General features: G+C 38.7%; 1 long non-coding RNA gene across 1 annotated transcript in view; it reads right to left on the bottom strand.

Annotated features, from left to right (window-relative positions):
• LOC107985239 (uncharacterized) overlaps nucleotides 1-17,070 on the bottom strand; it is a 202,893-nt gene that overhangs the window by 3,375 nt on the left and 182,448 nt on the right. The window lies entirely within an intron of this gene.

Raw genomic sequence — 17,070 nt, 5'->3', positions numbered from 1 at the left:
TTAATGGATGAATAATTATTTTACAATGTAACCATGGATTTTATCAAAATACCTCCCTTACGTAAGGCAAAAGTGAGCAAGTTTAAAAACAGTAACTCATGATCACCTGCTACTGTAAAAATCCAGTGATATGCATACCTTTCATTCAGAAGTTAGTAATGCCCTCTAGATCTCTCTTTTTATTCTGCACCTTTGTCAACCAACCCACTTTATGGCTATTAAGTCCCTAAAGCTTCTGAATCCTCTACAGCTCATCTCAAAACAAAAGCTAACCACCTGACATGCAGGGCTGGTTGTATGAAAATACAACAATCCCTCTCCAAGACCATGATAACCTGAGTCAACAGCGAACACATTAGTGAAATACAATTGTTGGCTTATGGAGTAATTCCAGTTAGCCACTGAGCATGAGGTATCTTCTAATTCTTCCATTGTTTAAAGATTAATTCCATTTGTTTGCCAGTAAGCCAAGTGGACATAAAAGATGAAACAATGAAATCATGAGTTGATCTGGTCCACCTAAAATAACTCCCACTACTTAAAAAAAACTTAAATTAATTCAGTTTTTGCTTTAATAAAACATATTTAAATGGAAACTTCGAGCTATAATAAGCAGTATTCTTCAAACTATAAAAAAGACTAAAATTCTTTATATCAAAGTTTTTCACTGATGTATAGGACAGTCTAGATTTCCTGAAAGAAAACAAATAGACCTCTATAAAGGTAACATAAATGTATACCACCACTACTGCCACCAAAGTAAAAAATACCATACTTTTTTTCAAAACAAAATAGTTAAAGACTAGGATAGCTGATCTAGAAGGAACCCTAGAAGGTATCTCACCTTGCCCCCTGACATTTGATGGAGAAAAAACTGGGAAGCAGATAGTTCACTGATTTAAGTTAGACACAGGTCAGTGGCTAAGCATGTAACTAAACTATAAGTAGACTAATAGTTGCATGAATCTCTTCTCTGCTCTTTTTATGTAGGACAGAGTTCACTGTCATCCTCTTGCCTTCCCTTTTAGGATCCTCTCTGCTATCCACTTGTCACAAGTGCCTAATCTATGCTCTATTCCTAAAGAGTCTGACTTTCCCAGTTAACTATTAAGTTTGGAAAATAATCTCTTAAACTAGAATGTAGTCTTAAACCAAAATGTAACTATGGCATATTAACAGATGTTGTCTAACAACAGTAGTCTCTAGTCAAATTGGTTTGGAAAATTCTAGGTTAAGCAAAGGTTTCTTTTCTGTAGAATAGTTTCAGAACTTTAATATGCTGATGTGCATTGTGAGTCTTCAGGTATGCATATCTCAACCTTATTAGATTATGGCAACTTTTTTTTACAAAGCAGATATCATAGATAGTATAATAAAGTGAAACACAATTTGAAAAACACTGTGACACAGCTAATTCCTAATAAGCTTATCTTGGATGTATACTTTCCAAAAATATAGGTACTTTTAGTAATTATTAATAAAATGAATTGTCATTTTGATCATTTAAAATACATAGTAGAAAATTAAACTGACCTCTATTTATACTAGCTAATGATAAGAAGAGATCCAGAGCCTTTTAAAATTGACTTTTGGAAGATTAAAAAGGCTTTAAGATGTGAAGAAATTAAAACTTAAGATGGCACTTCATATACTGTGAAATGAGATGCTGAGGGTGGATGACAGGAGAACTCTACCAGTTAACATCAGATTACTTCACGTCGGTATCTGCTCCCTTGTGAATAGAGGTACCATTTATTCAGCACTTGCTGCATGCTACACTGTGCTAAGCACTTTATTTACACCAGCTCTAGAAGGGTAGAGCCTATTACAATTCAAACCCAAGCTGGTCAAGTTTCAAAGCCTATGCTATTAATCTGACTATGACACACCTTCCCCAGCCTATCCCAGTTAGCAAAATTCAAATAATTCACATGAACTCTGCTTTTTCTTCCATACTGCAACTCCTGAAAGTGCCAAGATGTAAGCCAGAATTCTGCCCATATTTCAGAACCATTTCCCTCTCCTTCAAGCTGCCTGCTTGTCATTTTGTGTAAGTTTTATGATTTCATTTTAGAACAGCACTTCCCATATATTCTCAGGGTTTATTACTATCATTCCTTACCAAGGTGTGCTTAGGCAGAAGAACGGATACACTCACCAGCACATTGTTCATTTTTAGGTACTTAGTTTTAAATAAAATGTGCAGTTTAAATAAGAATGAAGCAGAAAGTTAAGTAGAGAATAAGAATTTTTATCATTTCGCTCAATGAATGCCTACCATTTAAAAATTTTTAATGCAATCTAATTCTAAATGCATCTACTCAGCACAATGAGAAGAGACAGAGAGAAATAAGTGGACCCTTCTTAAAGTGTTTACCATCTTTCTACAAATCCTACCTGACATGCCTCTAGGAATATTTTCTCAGACAACAGAAACTGAGATGCAATGAATTCAGTTACTTTACATAGAAAAATTGTTGCCTAACATCCTATATAGTTTGAGTGAGTTAACTTTCATAGCCCATTATTTTCACTTATTAAAAGAGAGATAAAAGAAACTTCTTTCATGTTCTGTTCATTCCTCTGTTTTTCAATTTCTCTACAGGAATTTTTGTCCACATCATGCATGAAAGACACAGTAGAGAACAGAGCTATCGTCCAACTGCATCAGATCTTACTGACTGTTGCTTCAATTAACTAAAACTTTCAGAAAAACAATATCTGTCCTCAGGAACCTAAGCAGTTGCCTCCACTTCTCCCATTTATTTTGTAGGAGTCTATACATAATTCCATAATCTTTAAAACTGAGACCCCTTGAGATTGCGTTTTTAAAGTAATGTTGAAAAAGATTCTACTGCTGAACATTTATTTTCGGTCTCTAATGAAGGGAGAGAGTAACCTTCATTCCTGAAGAGTTGTGACAATGTAAACATAAAACATTTATCTAGAATTTGGTCAGAGGAGCATATATGAAAGTCACCAGAATGTGCTAAATCATGACCATGACCATAACAATAGAAACGGGAGAAAAAAAGTTGTCAGAAGCTTAGAGCCATGTTTTCATAGGGGTGGAGGGGCACAGAGAGGATGTATTGCTCTTCGTCTATCTTGAGCAAATGTTTGCTTTGGTCTATTTTTACTTCCTCTCCCACTTCCTACTAAACATGTCGCACTAGAGTCAGTCATGTCAATATTTAAAGGGACTCATTTAGCAGCTGCATTGTCTCCACTTCCCGTCATCACGGAACACTAATGTTAGCTGTTGTCTACTTTCAAAATAAGTTTTAAACATAGTTATCTCCATCCTTATGCCCTCTTCCCACAATTGACTTCCACATTTTCAAATCAAACCACTTCTAATAATAGTTCATCAGTTCTGAAGTTCTACTTTGTGTTTCATATTCAGTGTTCCAAAGAAGCTGAAGGAAAGATACAAAATTAATGTATTAATTCAATTTACTGACCTTCTGAATCAGATCTCTCCAGTAGCAAACCCTGGGCATCTGCATTTTCTTATTTTTTAAATAATTGCCTTTCCTTATTTAAAACTTTTATAATCAGGGGCCGTGCGCAATGGCTCATGCCTGTAATCCCAGCACTTTGGGAGGTGGAGGGAGGTGGATCACCTGATGTCAGGAGTTTGCGACCAGACTGGCCAACATGGTGAAACGTGAAACTCTGTCTCTACTAAAAAATACAGAAATTAGCCAGGTGTAATGACAGGTGCCTGTAATCTCAGCTACTTGGGAGGCTGAAGCAGGAGAATCGCTTGAACCCAGGAAGCAGAGGTTGCGGTGAGCTGAGATTGCGCTATTGCACTCCAGCCTGGGTGACAGGAGCAAAACTGTATCAAAAAAATTAAAATTGAAATTAAAACATTTATTAATCAGATTTAAATATTTTGAACTGACTGTTTTTATTTCTTAGTGTTCTTTGTGTTTTTTTTTTTTTTTTTTGGCCTTTTGTTCTGCTTTCCAGGAAATGCCTCAATTTTGTCTTCCAAACTTTTCACTGAATTTCTTATTTTGCCATCATATTTTTAATTCCCAATGTCTCTTTTCTATTCTCCTAATGTTTATTTCCTCATAGTACCCTGTACTTATTTTCCTCCATAGATACATTATTTTCTCTACAAGGGTGTTGAAATTATAGTTCCTTTGACGTTTTCTCCTTTTCCTTGCATTATCCGTAATGAAATTTGAAAATTTCAGTGGAGAGTTTCTTTGTTCCTTGTTTGTCCTGAGGAAGGAAGAAAGTGGAAGCTTTCTTGAAATATATGATGGACAGTGCAATAAAAACTCTAATTCTCCCCCACTTCCTGTAGTCAACCCATTGTCATGTGACTTTGCAGTTCCCCTAATTGGAGGCAGAATCTGTCTCCCGAACCCTTGAATCTGAGCCAGTCTTAGGACTTCCTTTGGCTAATACAACTTAGCAAACATGACGATGTGCCAATTCTGAACCTAGGCCTCAAGAAACTTTGTATATTTCTGCTTATGCTCTCTCTTGCATCTCTGTCATCCCCATTAACCATGCCCAGGCTAGTCAGCCAGAGGACAAGGAACACATAGAGCAGAGCCAAGTTGCCCCAGTTATTCCAGCTAAGTCTACTCTAGACCAGCCAAGGCCAGCCAACCTCCAGACATAAGAGCAACTCCAGCCAAGATCAAGCAAAGTCCACAGCAGACCAGCCTAGACAAGGGAATAATAAATGTTTCTTAAGTATGTCCTTGAGATTTTGTGGTTGTTGGTTACACAGTGTTATCAGGGCAATAGACAACTGATATAGAGAAGTGGTCAGTAGCCAGATGTAGAGGATCATGTATGATGCATCAAGAAATTTAAATTTATGCTTACAAAAAAAAAAAACACACAACAACAACCCTGAAGTGTCTTAAAAGGGGAAGAACATAGGCTGGGCATGGTGGCTCACACCTCTAATACCAACACATTGGGAGGCCGAGGCGGGCAGATCACCTGAGGTCGGGAGTTTAAGACCAGCCTGGCCAACATGGTGAAACTCCGTCTCTACTAAAAATACAAAAATTAGCCAGGCATGGTGGTGTGTGCCTGTAATCCCAGCTACTTGGGAGGCTAAGGCAGGAGAATCACTTGACAGAATGAGACTCTGTCTCAAAAAAAAAAGAGGGATATGGGGAAGAACGTGATTTGATTTGCATTTAGGAAAAGCAATTCTGGCTACAATGTGTTTGTTCAGTTGAAAGTAGAATCTCTTATAATAGTCCAGGTAAGAGATGAGTGCCTCAATGAGGGCAACAGCAGTGAAGATGGTAACGAGAAGACGAATACCAGAAATGCCAAAAAGGTAAATATTATAGCATATAGTAACCGGTTGGTTGTGGAAGAAGGTAAGGAAAGATTCTGGTATGTTTCCCAGATACGGGGTTTTGAGGCCATGAAATGAACTGGAACTAAATTCAGGGAGAAGATATATTAAGCTCAGTTTTGCTATACTGAATTTGAATCCTTATGGGACATTCAAGTAGATGTTGGGCAGCCCATTTTATGTATAGCTCTGAAGGTCAGGGTACAGCTCAATTTTAAATAGCAATATTAATTTAGGAAACTACAGTGATGGATAGTAAATACAGCCATGAGTTTGGATGAGAACACTCAGAAGGAGGGTATATATTGAGAAGATGGCCAAAGACAGAGGATGGGGGATAAACAATGTTTAAGATGCTTGTTGAGAATGGAGGCACAGCAAAGTGGGGGGAGGTGGGGTGGGGAATCTCAAAGAGGAACACTTTAAAAAGAGAATGATCCGTGGTATCTATTTGGTGTGAACTGTATCTCTCCCGTTAGCAATGCCCATCTAAAATTTTAAAAGGATTTAAAGATCAAGAACTCAACATTGCAATGACCTCTACAGAATTATTTTTCAAACGAAATAAATAATTTTGTATGCATTGGCTCCTATGAATCTGACACCAAAGTGCTAAGTTAAAATATTTCTGGGCCAGACACAGTGGCTCATGCCTGTAATCCCAGCACTTTGGGAGGCCAAGGAGGGTGGATCATTTGAGGTCAGGACTTTGAGACCAACCTTGCCAACACAGTGAAACTTGTCTCTACTAAAAATATAAAAAATTAGCCAGGCATGGTGGTGCATGCCTGTACTCCCAGCTACTCAGGAGGCTGAGAGAGAAGAATCACTTGAACCTAGGAGGTGGAGATTGCAGGGAGCCAAGATCGTGTCACTGCACTCCAGCCTGGGTGACAGAGCGAGACTCCATCTCAAAAATAAATAAATAAAATAAAATATTTCTAAAAATATTTTAAAGAATCACGTCAAAAACTGTAGAATCACCTTTTAAGTCTCATGAAATTTAAGAGAGAGAAGAAGAATTATCCTTAGCATCCATAATGTGTTCTTTTCTTTCTATTACTAATTCCAGGTAACTTTCCCTAGCAAGCACTAGAACAATGGTCAGCAAACATACAGGTCGTCTCTTTCTAGTACAGGGCACTCTGATTGTCTGATTTTTTAAAAATAACTTCTCATTCACATCAGCTGATTTAAAAACGAGCTAGGAAGCATTTAGGCCAAATGTGCAGGGACTTCAAGGAGCCTACATGTTTTGATCTTCTGTGACGTACCTCCATTTTAATCTTGCTATTTTACAAGACAGATTAAACATAGATAAATTAGTCTGCTGTGTTAAGGTTGTTTTGTTCTTATTAATGTATACTCCTGAGAAGCTTATTTTATGAGCTTCCCCTTATAAATGAGGGTGAAAGTAACACTCCCAGAATGTAAGGCAATCCATCCAATATTTAAAAGTCATTCACACTGAGGATTTCTTGAACGATGCGGTTATACAGCTGTCACTGCACTCTAAGTTGTGCAGATTTTACCAAAGCAGTAAATTTCAGAGAACAGTGGGCTTTACAAGCAATAGACTAAGTAAGGTTCATTTTAGGTCTCCCACCTTAAGGAGGAAGGAGACTATAGCAGCTGCTCTAACCACCGGAGGGGGCCATTTCATCAAATTCAAGCCTGCCTATATTTAAGCAAAACTATTTTTTGTTATCGGCAGGCTTCCCATCTAGAAGTGAGAAGTGCTTGCTTACCATTTTCAAATGAGAAGAGCTAGGACCCTCCCTTGGTTGGGGCTTGTATTGAGAGGGTGCCTCAAACCCTTGATCACCCCGTTAGGACTGAAATAGTACTAGCAGGACCACAGGGGATGCACTTGTCCACAAGGAAATAAGTGCTACTTGCTTTCGTATGGACAAACTAACACATTGCTAATCTGCAATAGTAAGCACATTCCTTATGGAAAACGTACCCTTAAAAAAGCTCACGAAACTTGGGGGCAGGTGAAGAGGGATTCCTTTTTAAATTTACTCACATTATTTCACCAGCATTTCTCCAATATCCTTGGAGATATTGGTCGTTAAGAACAGGAGCTTTTTAGTCATATAATGGCTCTGCCTGTTTCAGCAGCCAAGAACAAAAGCCCAACTCAAAGTAGTTTTGTAAAGATAGAGACATATATTGGATCACATAGCTGAAAGGTCCAGATACATACTCTCTTCAGGAACAGCCAGCTTTGGAATTTAATATATTGAGGATGCTATTGCCTTGTCTCCATCTCCTGGCTCTGCTTTCTTGTGTGTTGACTTCAATATCTGGCAGATTTTCTTCTCATGGTACCAGGTGGGCTCAGCCCGCTCCAGATTTAAGTGGCTCTTATACCCAGGGACCTCTTTTCCAATAGCTCCAGCAAAAGTGCAGGCCTCAGTATGGCTCAGACCACTTTAGGACATGTGCCCACCTAAGCCAGGCCTGCGTCCTGTGCTGTCCCATGACTACCACCACTATAAAGCCTGGAGAGAGAGAAGGGTAAAACTGTGAATGCATGGAGTTGACTGCGTAGAGTGAGAATGAGAAACGGCTGGTCTCCTAAAAGCAAAACAAACAAACAAACAAAAAAAGACATTATTTCTGAAAGAAGGAAGGGAGGCTAGACATACAGAAAAGCTTTATGTCTCTTACAGTTTGTAAAGCACTTACCACAGTGCTTGGAACATAAAAAGAACTTTAAAAAATAGTAGCTAAAAGAATTAATAAAGTAATTATAATGATGATGATGTTTTTGAGAACCAAATAGATGATGATATACTCTGAAGATAAGATCATTGCCACTTATTTCAGTATAGAACACACCGTTCTTTGTACAACTTATTAACTGATCTATTTAACTGCAAACTTGGATATAAATGATGTCAGTGCTATATGATTATTATTAAGAAATAATGAAAAGGCAAAGAAAGCATATTCAGTGACTCAAAAAAAATTGGCATTTGAATGCAGATAATTTTGTGTTCTAGCAAATGGCTGGTTGAGTGGGGACCTGAGGAACCTGTTTTGTCTTCCTGCTTCAGTTATTAGGATGTGCCATTGGGTAAATTTGTATCTCATTTGCCTTTGAGGAGAAATCCCTGTTTCAGGCAGAAAGCCCATCAAAATGACTGCCAGCCACTGGGCATTTTTTCAGGGGGTCTTCCCAGACTGAAGTCGATCCCTCCACCTCTCTGGCTATCCAAAGCACTCCGCAATATAAGGCCATCTCTGCTTTGCATACTGCTCCAACTAGGGTTGACCTCCTCTATCTCACAGCCTATAAAGTCACTGACAAAACCAGAAAACTTACTTTAGGGAATTTTGTTTCTATAGCACAATGTTGACCCTTCATCTTGCTCTTTTGTATTGTCCCTGTATATTTTTCATGGTGTACCTTATTCTCCACATCTACCCCCTTGCAGTTTGTGTTTGGTGATTCTGAAGTACCTATGCATCTTTTAAATATGCTATACTTTATCTTCTCTTTGCAAAACCACTTCTTGAATATGGAATGGGATCCTACACTCTGCCAGCCTTTTCCCCACTTTCAATCTTCACCTGATTACATTCTACTTATCCTACTTAGCTTAGATGTCCTCTCCTAAGTCTTCCATGACCCTAAAAGTTAGGACAGGTGCTCCTATACTTTTCCAGAGCCTCTCCAGCAGTTCAGGTATACATTTTCTCTGTGAATATTACCAATGCAAAATCTTCAATAAGGCTTTGATCTACTTAGCAAGTCAAAAATAGATCACAGGAGAAAAATTAGAGAACAATTTAATCCTAAATGTCATTGTACTCACTAAAAGTACATGAGGAGTTCAACAAAAGAGAAAATTAAGGAAGGTTTTAGGGAATGGTGTGTTTTATTCATCACAGTATACTTAGCCCTGGGCTCAGTGCCTAGAACATAGAGATAACACATATCAATACCCAGACAATCAAATAGAATAATGTGGACTTGGAAAAATGCCCAAGGGATGGAGGGAAAAATAGAGGGAGGAATGGAGGGCAGGGACATCTAGTGCAATGCTGAGTGTGAACTGCATTTGAACACACAGGTCTGAGTAGATTATTATTGTATCTGGTTTACATTTGTTATAAAACTAGATGAATTATACCATCTTTGCTCTAAAGCAGAGGTAAAAAACACCTTTTAAAAAGAGGATAGGAAAAAATCAACCACAAAGTGGTATATGCGCCTGTAGTCCCAGCTACTCCAGAAGCTGAGGAGGGAGGATATCGTGAGCCCAGGAGTTCAAGACGAGCCTGGACAAAATAGCAAGACCCAGTCTCTTAAAAAAAAAAAGCGTGTGGAGGTTTACAGCAAAGAGGATAAGGGAAGTAAGAATGATAAGCCACATCTACAGAGTAGTATGTTTTATAGTCTTACTCCTAGAATGTCTAAGAACAAATATCTGAAATTGTCTGCAATGGATTCTGTTTTAAAGAAGAATGGTTTTTAATCAAGTCAAACACTTTAAACTTTGATCGGGAACTGAGAAATCACATAACTCTTATCCTAAACAGCATCTCTCAGACAAATCTGGGATGTATTTCCTATGAAACAGAAAACAATACATTAGCGGTGTGAACCATAATAGAGTTCTGGGTGATCTATTGTTTATCAAGCCATCAGTCTGTATACATCGCTTGTAATGAAATAATCACTCCACAGGAACTTAATACAGTCTGGGAATGATCTTTGAGTGTTGTACCCAGGGAACCTAATAATGAGACTTGAAGCAACTGTGTAAGAGAAACAGAAAAACAACCCAAGCTGTTATCTCTTATTGAGTCTATTTTCTCATAGAGAATCCTGAGAAAACAAAGGACATTTTGTTTGAAGTGTTTTTGCCTTCTTCAAGTCTGAGAAAAAAAATTTTTTTCCTTTGAAGTACTTTCAAATTAAACATTGTGAAGCCTATTTCTTCCTTTACATCTGAAATATTTACTAATTCTGAAATCAGAAAATTTCGCCTTTCAAAATATATTTAATTAGCATCTACTTGTTCATGAACTAGACATTGTGGGGAATACAAGAGAAATAAAATTACAACAGCATCAACTGAGAACTGGTTAAAAATGCAAGTTATTAGGGTCCACCCAGACCTATGAATCAGAATCTGCATTTTAGCAAGATCCCAGGTGATTTGTATGTGCTTTGTAATTTGAGAAGCAATATTATAACTGCATATAGGGTTTTGTTTTTGTTTTTTAATACTGTTACCTGGATCCCAGTCCCAGAAATTTTTATTTAATTTTCATGGGGGTGCAGCCCAGCCATCATGACTCTTCTAAAGTGCAACAGAGTATAAGAACAGCTGCCCTTCAGTCAGTGAAGCTACCCAGCCATTTTGATCCTTGCAGCCTAGGCTCTTGCTAAAATGTGGATTCGGAGTCATTTGATCTGTGCTGGATCCTGAGAATTCGCTTTTCTAACAATGGTGTGATTTTATTACTCTTATATCTTCCACAATGCCTAGCTCCAGGCACAATTAGATGCTCAGTAAATAATTTTTCAAGGCCTACCTACTTTTTTCCTCAATATAATTATATGTTATGGCTACTTTTCACACTTTTTTTTTTTAATGACAGCACAAACTCAAACCTCTAAGGAATCACAAGAAGGAAAATTAATGTTAACATAAATGGTAGCAGGCTGTTACGTGTTGAATTGTGTCCCCTCAAAAGATATGTTGAAGTCCTAACCCCTGGAACCTCAGAATGTGATCTTATTTGAAAATAAATGTAATTGCAGATATAATTAGTTAAGTTAAGATGAGGTCATATTGGAGCAGCGTGGGCCCTTAATCCAAATTACATTTGGATTTCCTTACAAGAAGAGGAGAAGAAACACAGAGACACACACACAGGGCCATGTAACAACAAAGGCAAAGATGGTACTGATGCATCTACAGTCCAAGGAACGTCAGAGGCTAAGGAACCACAAGAAGCTAAGAAGAAGCAAAGAAAGATTCTTCCCTAGAGCCTTCAGAGGAAGCCTGGCCCTGTCAATACCTTGATTTCAAACCGCTAGCCTCAAGAACTGTGAGGGAATAAATTTCGGTTGTTTTAAGCCATGCTGTTTGTAATAATTTGTTATGACAGCCCTAGACAGCCTATCTTCTTATACTTTTACATAGGCTAGGGTTTTTTGGGGGCAGGTTTGTTTTATTTTGATTCATTTTTGCATCCAGGACATGCAGGCCACTGCCTATATATAAAACTAAATTGGTCTAACCACAGCTACCTCAAATTTGGTGCATGGTTTACTATTACAGATAGCAAGGAAAGGAATTATAAAGTAAAAGAAGAAACAAATGAATGAAAAGAGTTCTGAAAAATGAATGAAGGAAAAGAGGGAAACTTAAAACCCCAGAAAAGAAAAGAAAATATACAGACACATAGTTTATTATGAATAATCTCAAATTAGAGGGAAGGCACAGGAGTTTGCAGAAATGAAGTTATTTCTTAACAGAAATACATCACTGTGATCATACTGATCTAAATTTAAATCCCAGTAACATATGTGTGATTTTAAAGAAGTCATATAATGTTCATGAATCTGTAAAATGGAAACACTACTGATAATACTTGCCTACAAAGGTTGGTGTGAGGATTATAAAGAGCTCAGCAACCTGTCAGAAACATTCAGTATATGGTAACTATAATTATTAGAAGACGGCCGGGCACAGTGGCTCACGCCTGTAATTCCAGCACCTTGGGAGGCCAAGGAGGGTGGATCCCCTGAGGTCAGAAGTTTGAGACCAGCCTGGCCAACATAGTGAAACTCCGTCTCTACTGAAAATACAAAAAATTAGCTGGACATGGTGGCTGGTGCCTGTAATCCCAGCTGCTCGGGATGCTGAGGTAGGAGAATCACTTGAACCCAGGAGGTGGAGCTTGCGGTGAGCCGAGATCGCGCCACTGCACTTCAGCCTGGGCAACAGAGCGAGACTCCGCCTCGAAAAAGAAGAAAAGAAAGAAAGGAAGGAAGGAAAGAAAGAAGAAAGAAAGGAAGGAAGGAAGGAAGGAAGGAAGGAAGGAAGGAAGGAAGGAAGGAAGGAAGGAAGGAAGGAAGAAAGAAAGAGCAGCAAACACCACAGAGAAGAGGAGCCCTCGAGCTACCCCAGCCTGCGCCATTGCAGTCAAGCCCAGGACACAGAGCACAAGGGAGTAGCGCCTGGCGGGAGGGAAAGGCTTTCTTTTTCTTTTTGTTTTTTTTTTGAGAAGGAGTCTCGCTCTGTCGCCCAGGCATGTTCTTGGCTCACTGCAAGCTCTGCCTCCCGGGTTCACGCCATTCTCCCGCCTCAGCCTCCTGAGTAGCTGGGACTACAGGCGCCCGCCACCACGCTCGGCTAATTTTTTGTATTTTTAGTAGAGACGGGGTTTCACCGTGTTAGCCAGGATGGTCTCGATCTCCTGACCTCGTGATCCGCCCACCTCGGCCTCCCAAAGTGCTGGGATTACAGGCGTGAGCCACCGCGCCCAGCCAGGAAAGGCTTTTAAAAGCCGGGACAGGGTCCGTGTACAGTGGAACTGAAAACAAACTTCCTTTCACAATTTTCCCATGGGACTTCAGCAACTAAAACGTATTTCCTTTCAGTATATTAAAAACATGTCTGATCTTATTATTTCTAATATATATGTCTGAGCAAAGACCACAATTGAAGAATATTTTATTACGTACATATCTTTGTACAGAAAGAAAGAAAAGAAAAAGTGAAAGTTTACTTTTAACCTTCATTGTTAAATTTCAAGATAAGAATAAAATAAATCCAAATTTATATTTTCAAACCAAGCAAATTCACTACAATCCAGTATTTTCATTTGTTAAATGTTTATTGGACAAGAAGAGAAAAATAATAATGTTTATTCTACCAGGCATGAAAATGAGAAGTTTATTTCCAGTAAGAATACAATGCCTGTTCCTCTAGGGTGTGTGTGTGTGTTTGTGTGTGTGTGTGTGTGTCAGAACTCCTAAACTACTACTAAGCAGACAAATAACTATATAATTTATTTAACCTAGAAAATTATTGTAGAATAATTTAATTTCCTGGGTAACTGGAAGAATATAGTCTATTTACTAGATTAGGGAGGAATTTACTTTCTTGAACCATTGGCTCATATCTGTATTACTACATTCTTTCAGTTTTATTATGATTTATCTCTTTACAGGGCTGAGTATCCGTAAGATCCTGAAGAACAGGAAGTACCTCATTGATGGTTATATTCTCAGAACCCTCTAGCCTCTCAATAAATTTTTGTTGAATGAACTATGTATAAAACCATAAAGTGAAGCTCAGGAAAACTGCAAGACAAGGGACCTGGTATACTGGACATTTATCAATTTTTTTTTTATTTCCAATCATCTAAACCTTCTTCATATGTTTAAAGAATGTCCCTCTGTATAAAGCTAGATACTCACCTCTCTGAGCCCCTTGTAACCTGATCTCCCAATAAGCCACAACTTTCAAATTGGGATATCATGACACTGACCAGCAGAGACACGGGGGAATCCATCATGTTGGTGGCAGAGGCAGACTTGACTGACACATTCATTCTCCAAGAGGGGCAGTGCCACCAGCATCATCTACCCCACAGGGTCCAGAGGTCTGTGAGAGTTACACCAGTGACCTCACAGGACTGGTTGTGAAATGTGGTGCTGTCTGTGGCTCAGCAATCCCTTCTTTCTGATCCTGGCTCTCTAGCCTTCCTGGAGATGTGAGCTGTGAGTTGCCAATCTTTTTTTCTGCCTAAATCACCCAAGATTTATTTCTGTACCCATAACTAGAATCCTTCTGAGTCCAGTTGGGCTTCACCACTTTTCAATAGAATGGCAGGCTCACCTAAGTACTATGAGATTTTAAAAGATTATTTCTTTATAAACATCACCATTTTTGACTATATGTCTAAACTTCCTTCTGGCTCTAAAATTATTTGATTCCATTAGGGCAGTTTCAGTAAAGCATATAAATACCATGTTAATCCAATAGCCGCGTTTCTCATTCATTTGTCAACAAACATGTATGTGTGCCTTCCAGATGAAAAGATCAGACACCACGATTTTTACAGTGCTGCTGTTGTCTTTTAAGAACTTTGGTCAGTAGAGAAGTTCTGGATTTTTTGTGATATAAATTATATTAAGGCCAACCCTGAGAATTGTAAAACATCCATAGACCATCAGCTGACTGCATCACATATACCACTAAATGTGTTACTGAGTTGAGGGAGAAAGATGTTCTTCGAACTTAACTTAATAATGATCTGTAGAGCTATTTGCTAAAGTGCCCTCAAGGGAGTTAAGTGTACCAGAGTGTATTCCCTTCTTATTCATGACTGTCACATGAATGAGAAGTCGTTCTTGTCTAAGAGAGAAAGACACTGGCAATTCAGTTGCACAATTGCCAAGAGTTTTTTGTTTTTTGTTTGTTTGTTTGTTTAGCATTTATGTAAAAGGAAATTTCAAAGAAAGCCAAATTACACAGGGCTGGTTACCTGTCATCAAGCTGGCTATGGTTATTTTGTTTCCCTAGACTTTATGCTAACAAAGGGCTCATGTACTTTGACGCTTATTGAGAAAAGGTGCTAATTTTCTTTTCACTTACACATAAGCTATTTCTTCTAGATGAGATTTAAACACGAGATTAGCATAAAATCCTTGGCCTTTCTTCTATTTCTATGATCTAGAAGCATTCAACGGATCTGATAAGAGCACTTTCTTTGCAATTTGACATTGAGAGAGCACCTTGGAAGGGTTATTATGAAGACCAAGCTGTTCTCTAAGTTTCATGCAGAGTGAGTTATATTCTGTGACCTGTAATTAATTCATAGGAGCGCCAAGAAGACAGAATCATATATTCTAAATAGCATATTTCCCAAACTTTTTTTACATGTAGAGAAGAATATTATTCATTTAAAAAATGTACTTCCCCCTTTTTTCATTTTTGCTCTAAAAAGGGTTAGGAGGAAGTATGTGAACTACAAAATGCTAGTCTATTCAGATTCTCATCCCCAGATTCTAAAGAATAACAAAACAACCAGCTTTGCATGACAGTCAATGACCAGTTAGTGGACATCAAGCAATGTTATGCCCATTTTGTTTCAGCACTAGCTTTAGTGATATGAAGAATAACCTTTACAATTAGGATTTAAAGCCCTCGAAAATCTTGAGTTCAAGCCATAAATGCCTGTAGGAAGAAGAGCCTGGCAGTTGCTACAGCCTGTCTCCTCTGGAGCCCTCTGGGAGTGCAGAAGCAGAGGGACAGAAGAAGAGACAGAAGGGATGGTGATAGGCCCTGTCATTCCCTGTTATCTCCAGTGGTCAGCACCCAAAGACATTTTGTTGTTGTTGTTGTTGTTGTTGTTGTTGTTATTTTGAGTCAGAGTCTCACTCTGTCGCCCAGACTGGAGATCACCGGCATGATCTCGGCTCACTGCAACCTCCGGCTCCCAGGCTCAAGCAGTTCTCCTGCCTCAGCCTCCCAAGTAGATGGGATTACAAGCATGTGCCACCATGCCTGGCTAATTTTTGTATTTTCAGTAGAGACAGGGTTTCACCATATTGGCCAGGCTGGTCTCGAACTCCTGACCTCAGGTGATTGGCCCGCCTCAGCTTCCCAAAGTGTTGGGATTACAGGCATGAGCCACCACGCCCGGCCCAAAGACTTTTTAAATTGACCTTTTTTTCTGCCTGAGTAAAGGCAGAAATCGAACACAGAGAATCTGAACACAGGTTAAAAAAAAAGGTTCTGAATGAATCGAACACAGGTTAAAAGAAAAGGAAGGGGGGAATATGCAAGGGTGACTTTATTATCCATCTGAAAAGTTGGAGTACAGAAAATACAGAATGGACAGCACTCAACAGCTGAACAGAAAAAAATAGAAATAAATGAAATAATCTTAGGTAGGGTGCAGTGGCTCATGCGTGTAATCCCAACACTTTGAGAGGCCAAGGCAGGAAGATCACCTGAGCCCGGGAGTTCGAGACTAGCCTGTGCAATGTAGCGACACCCCATCTCTACACAAATTTTTTAAATTATGTAAAAAAAAGAAAGAAAGAAAGAAATAATCTTAGGCCTGGGAGACTTATTTCTGCACCAAGCAGGAACCTATGGAATTACTAGATACTTGATTACTTAGGCCAATAACCCTGACTACATTTACCATTTATTTGGGTAGAAGCTGTGTCAATCTTCTATGATCCTGCATTAATCATTAGCTATGTCTGTCACTCCCGACACCACCCACCACTCTTAGGTTGCACCCTCTGCATTGTTGCCCATGTTTCTCCCCTATATTGATAATCTAACCCGGTATTTCTTCAGAACAGATGTAGGCCATTATTAAATGAATGGCCTACAAGTTTAGTCTATGGGTATGAAAAATACCTGGTTTTATTTTATGGCATCAATTTGTGATGTTAGAATCATCTTCAACAACAATCATTTTTTGAACATCATAAGACTTCAAAATGCAATAGAAAGAATGAGGGGTCTGGATCTGATGGATTTAGGCTTGAATTCCAGCCTCATCATTAATCAATTTATCTGCACCTCTTTTGTTTTTTTCTGTCCAGGGATGTTGTGGGCAGCCTCTAAGATAGTTCCCAATGCATACCTTCTGGTATTCATGCCCTTGTGTAATTCCCTACCACTGTGGGTTGGTTGGACCTAGTGCATTCCTTCTAATGAATA

This window comes from Homo sapiens, chromosome 1 (assembly GCF_000001405.40).
Source record: "Homo sapiens chromosome 1, GRCh38.p14 Primary Assembly".
Classification (NCBI taxonomy): Eukaryota; Metazoa; Chordata; class Mammalia; order Primates; family Hominidae; genus Homo; species Homo sapiens.
Note: the sequence above shows the minus strand (reverse complement) of the source record. Positions and strands in the feature narration are given on the sequence as shown.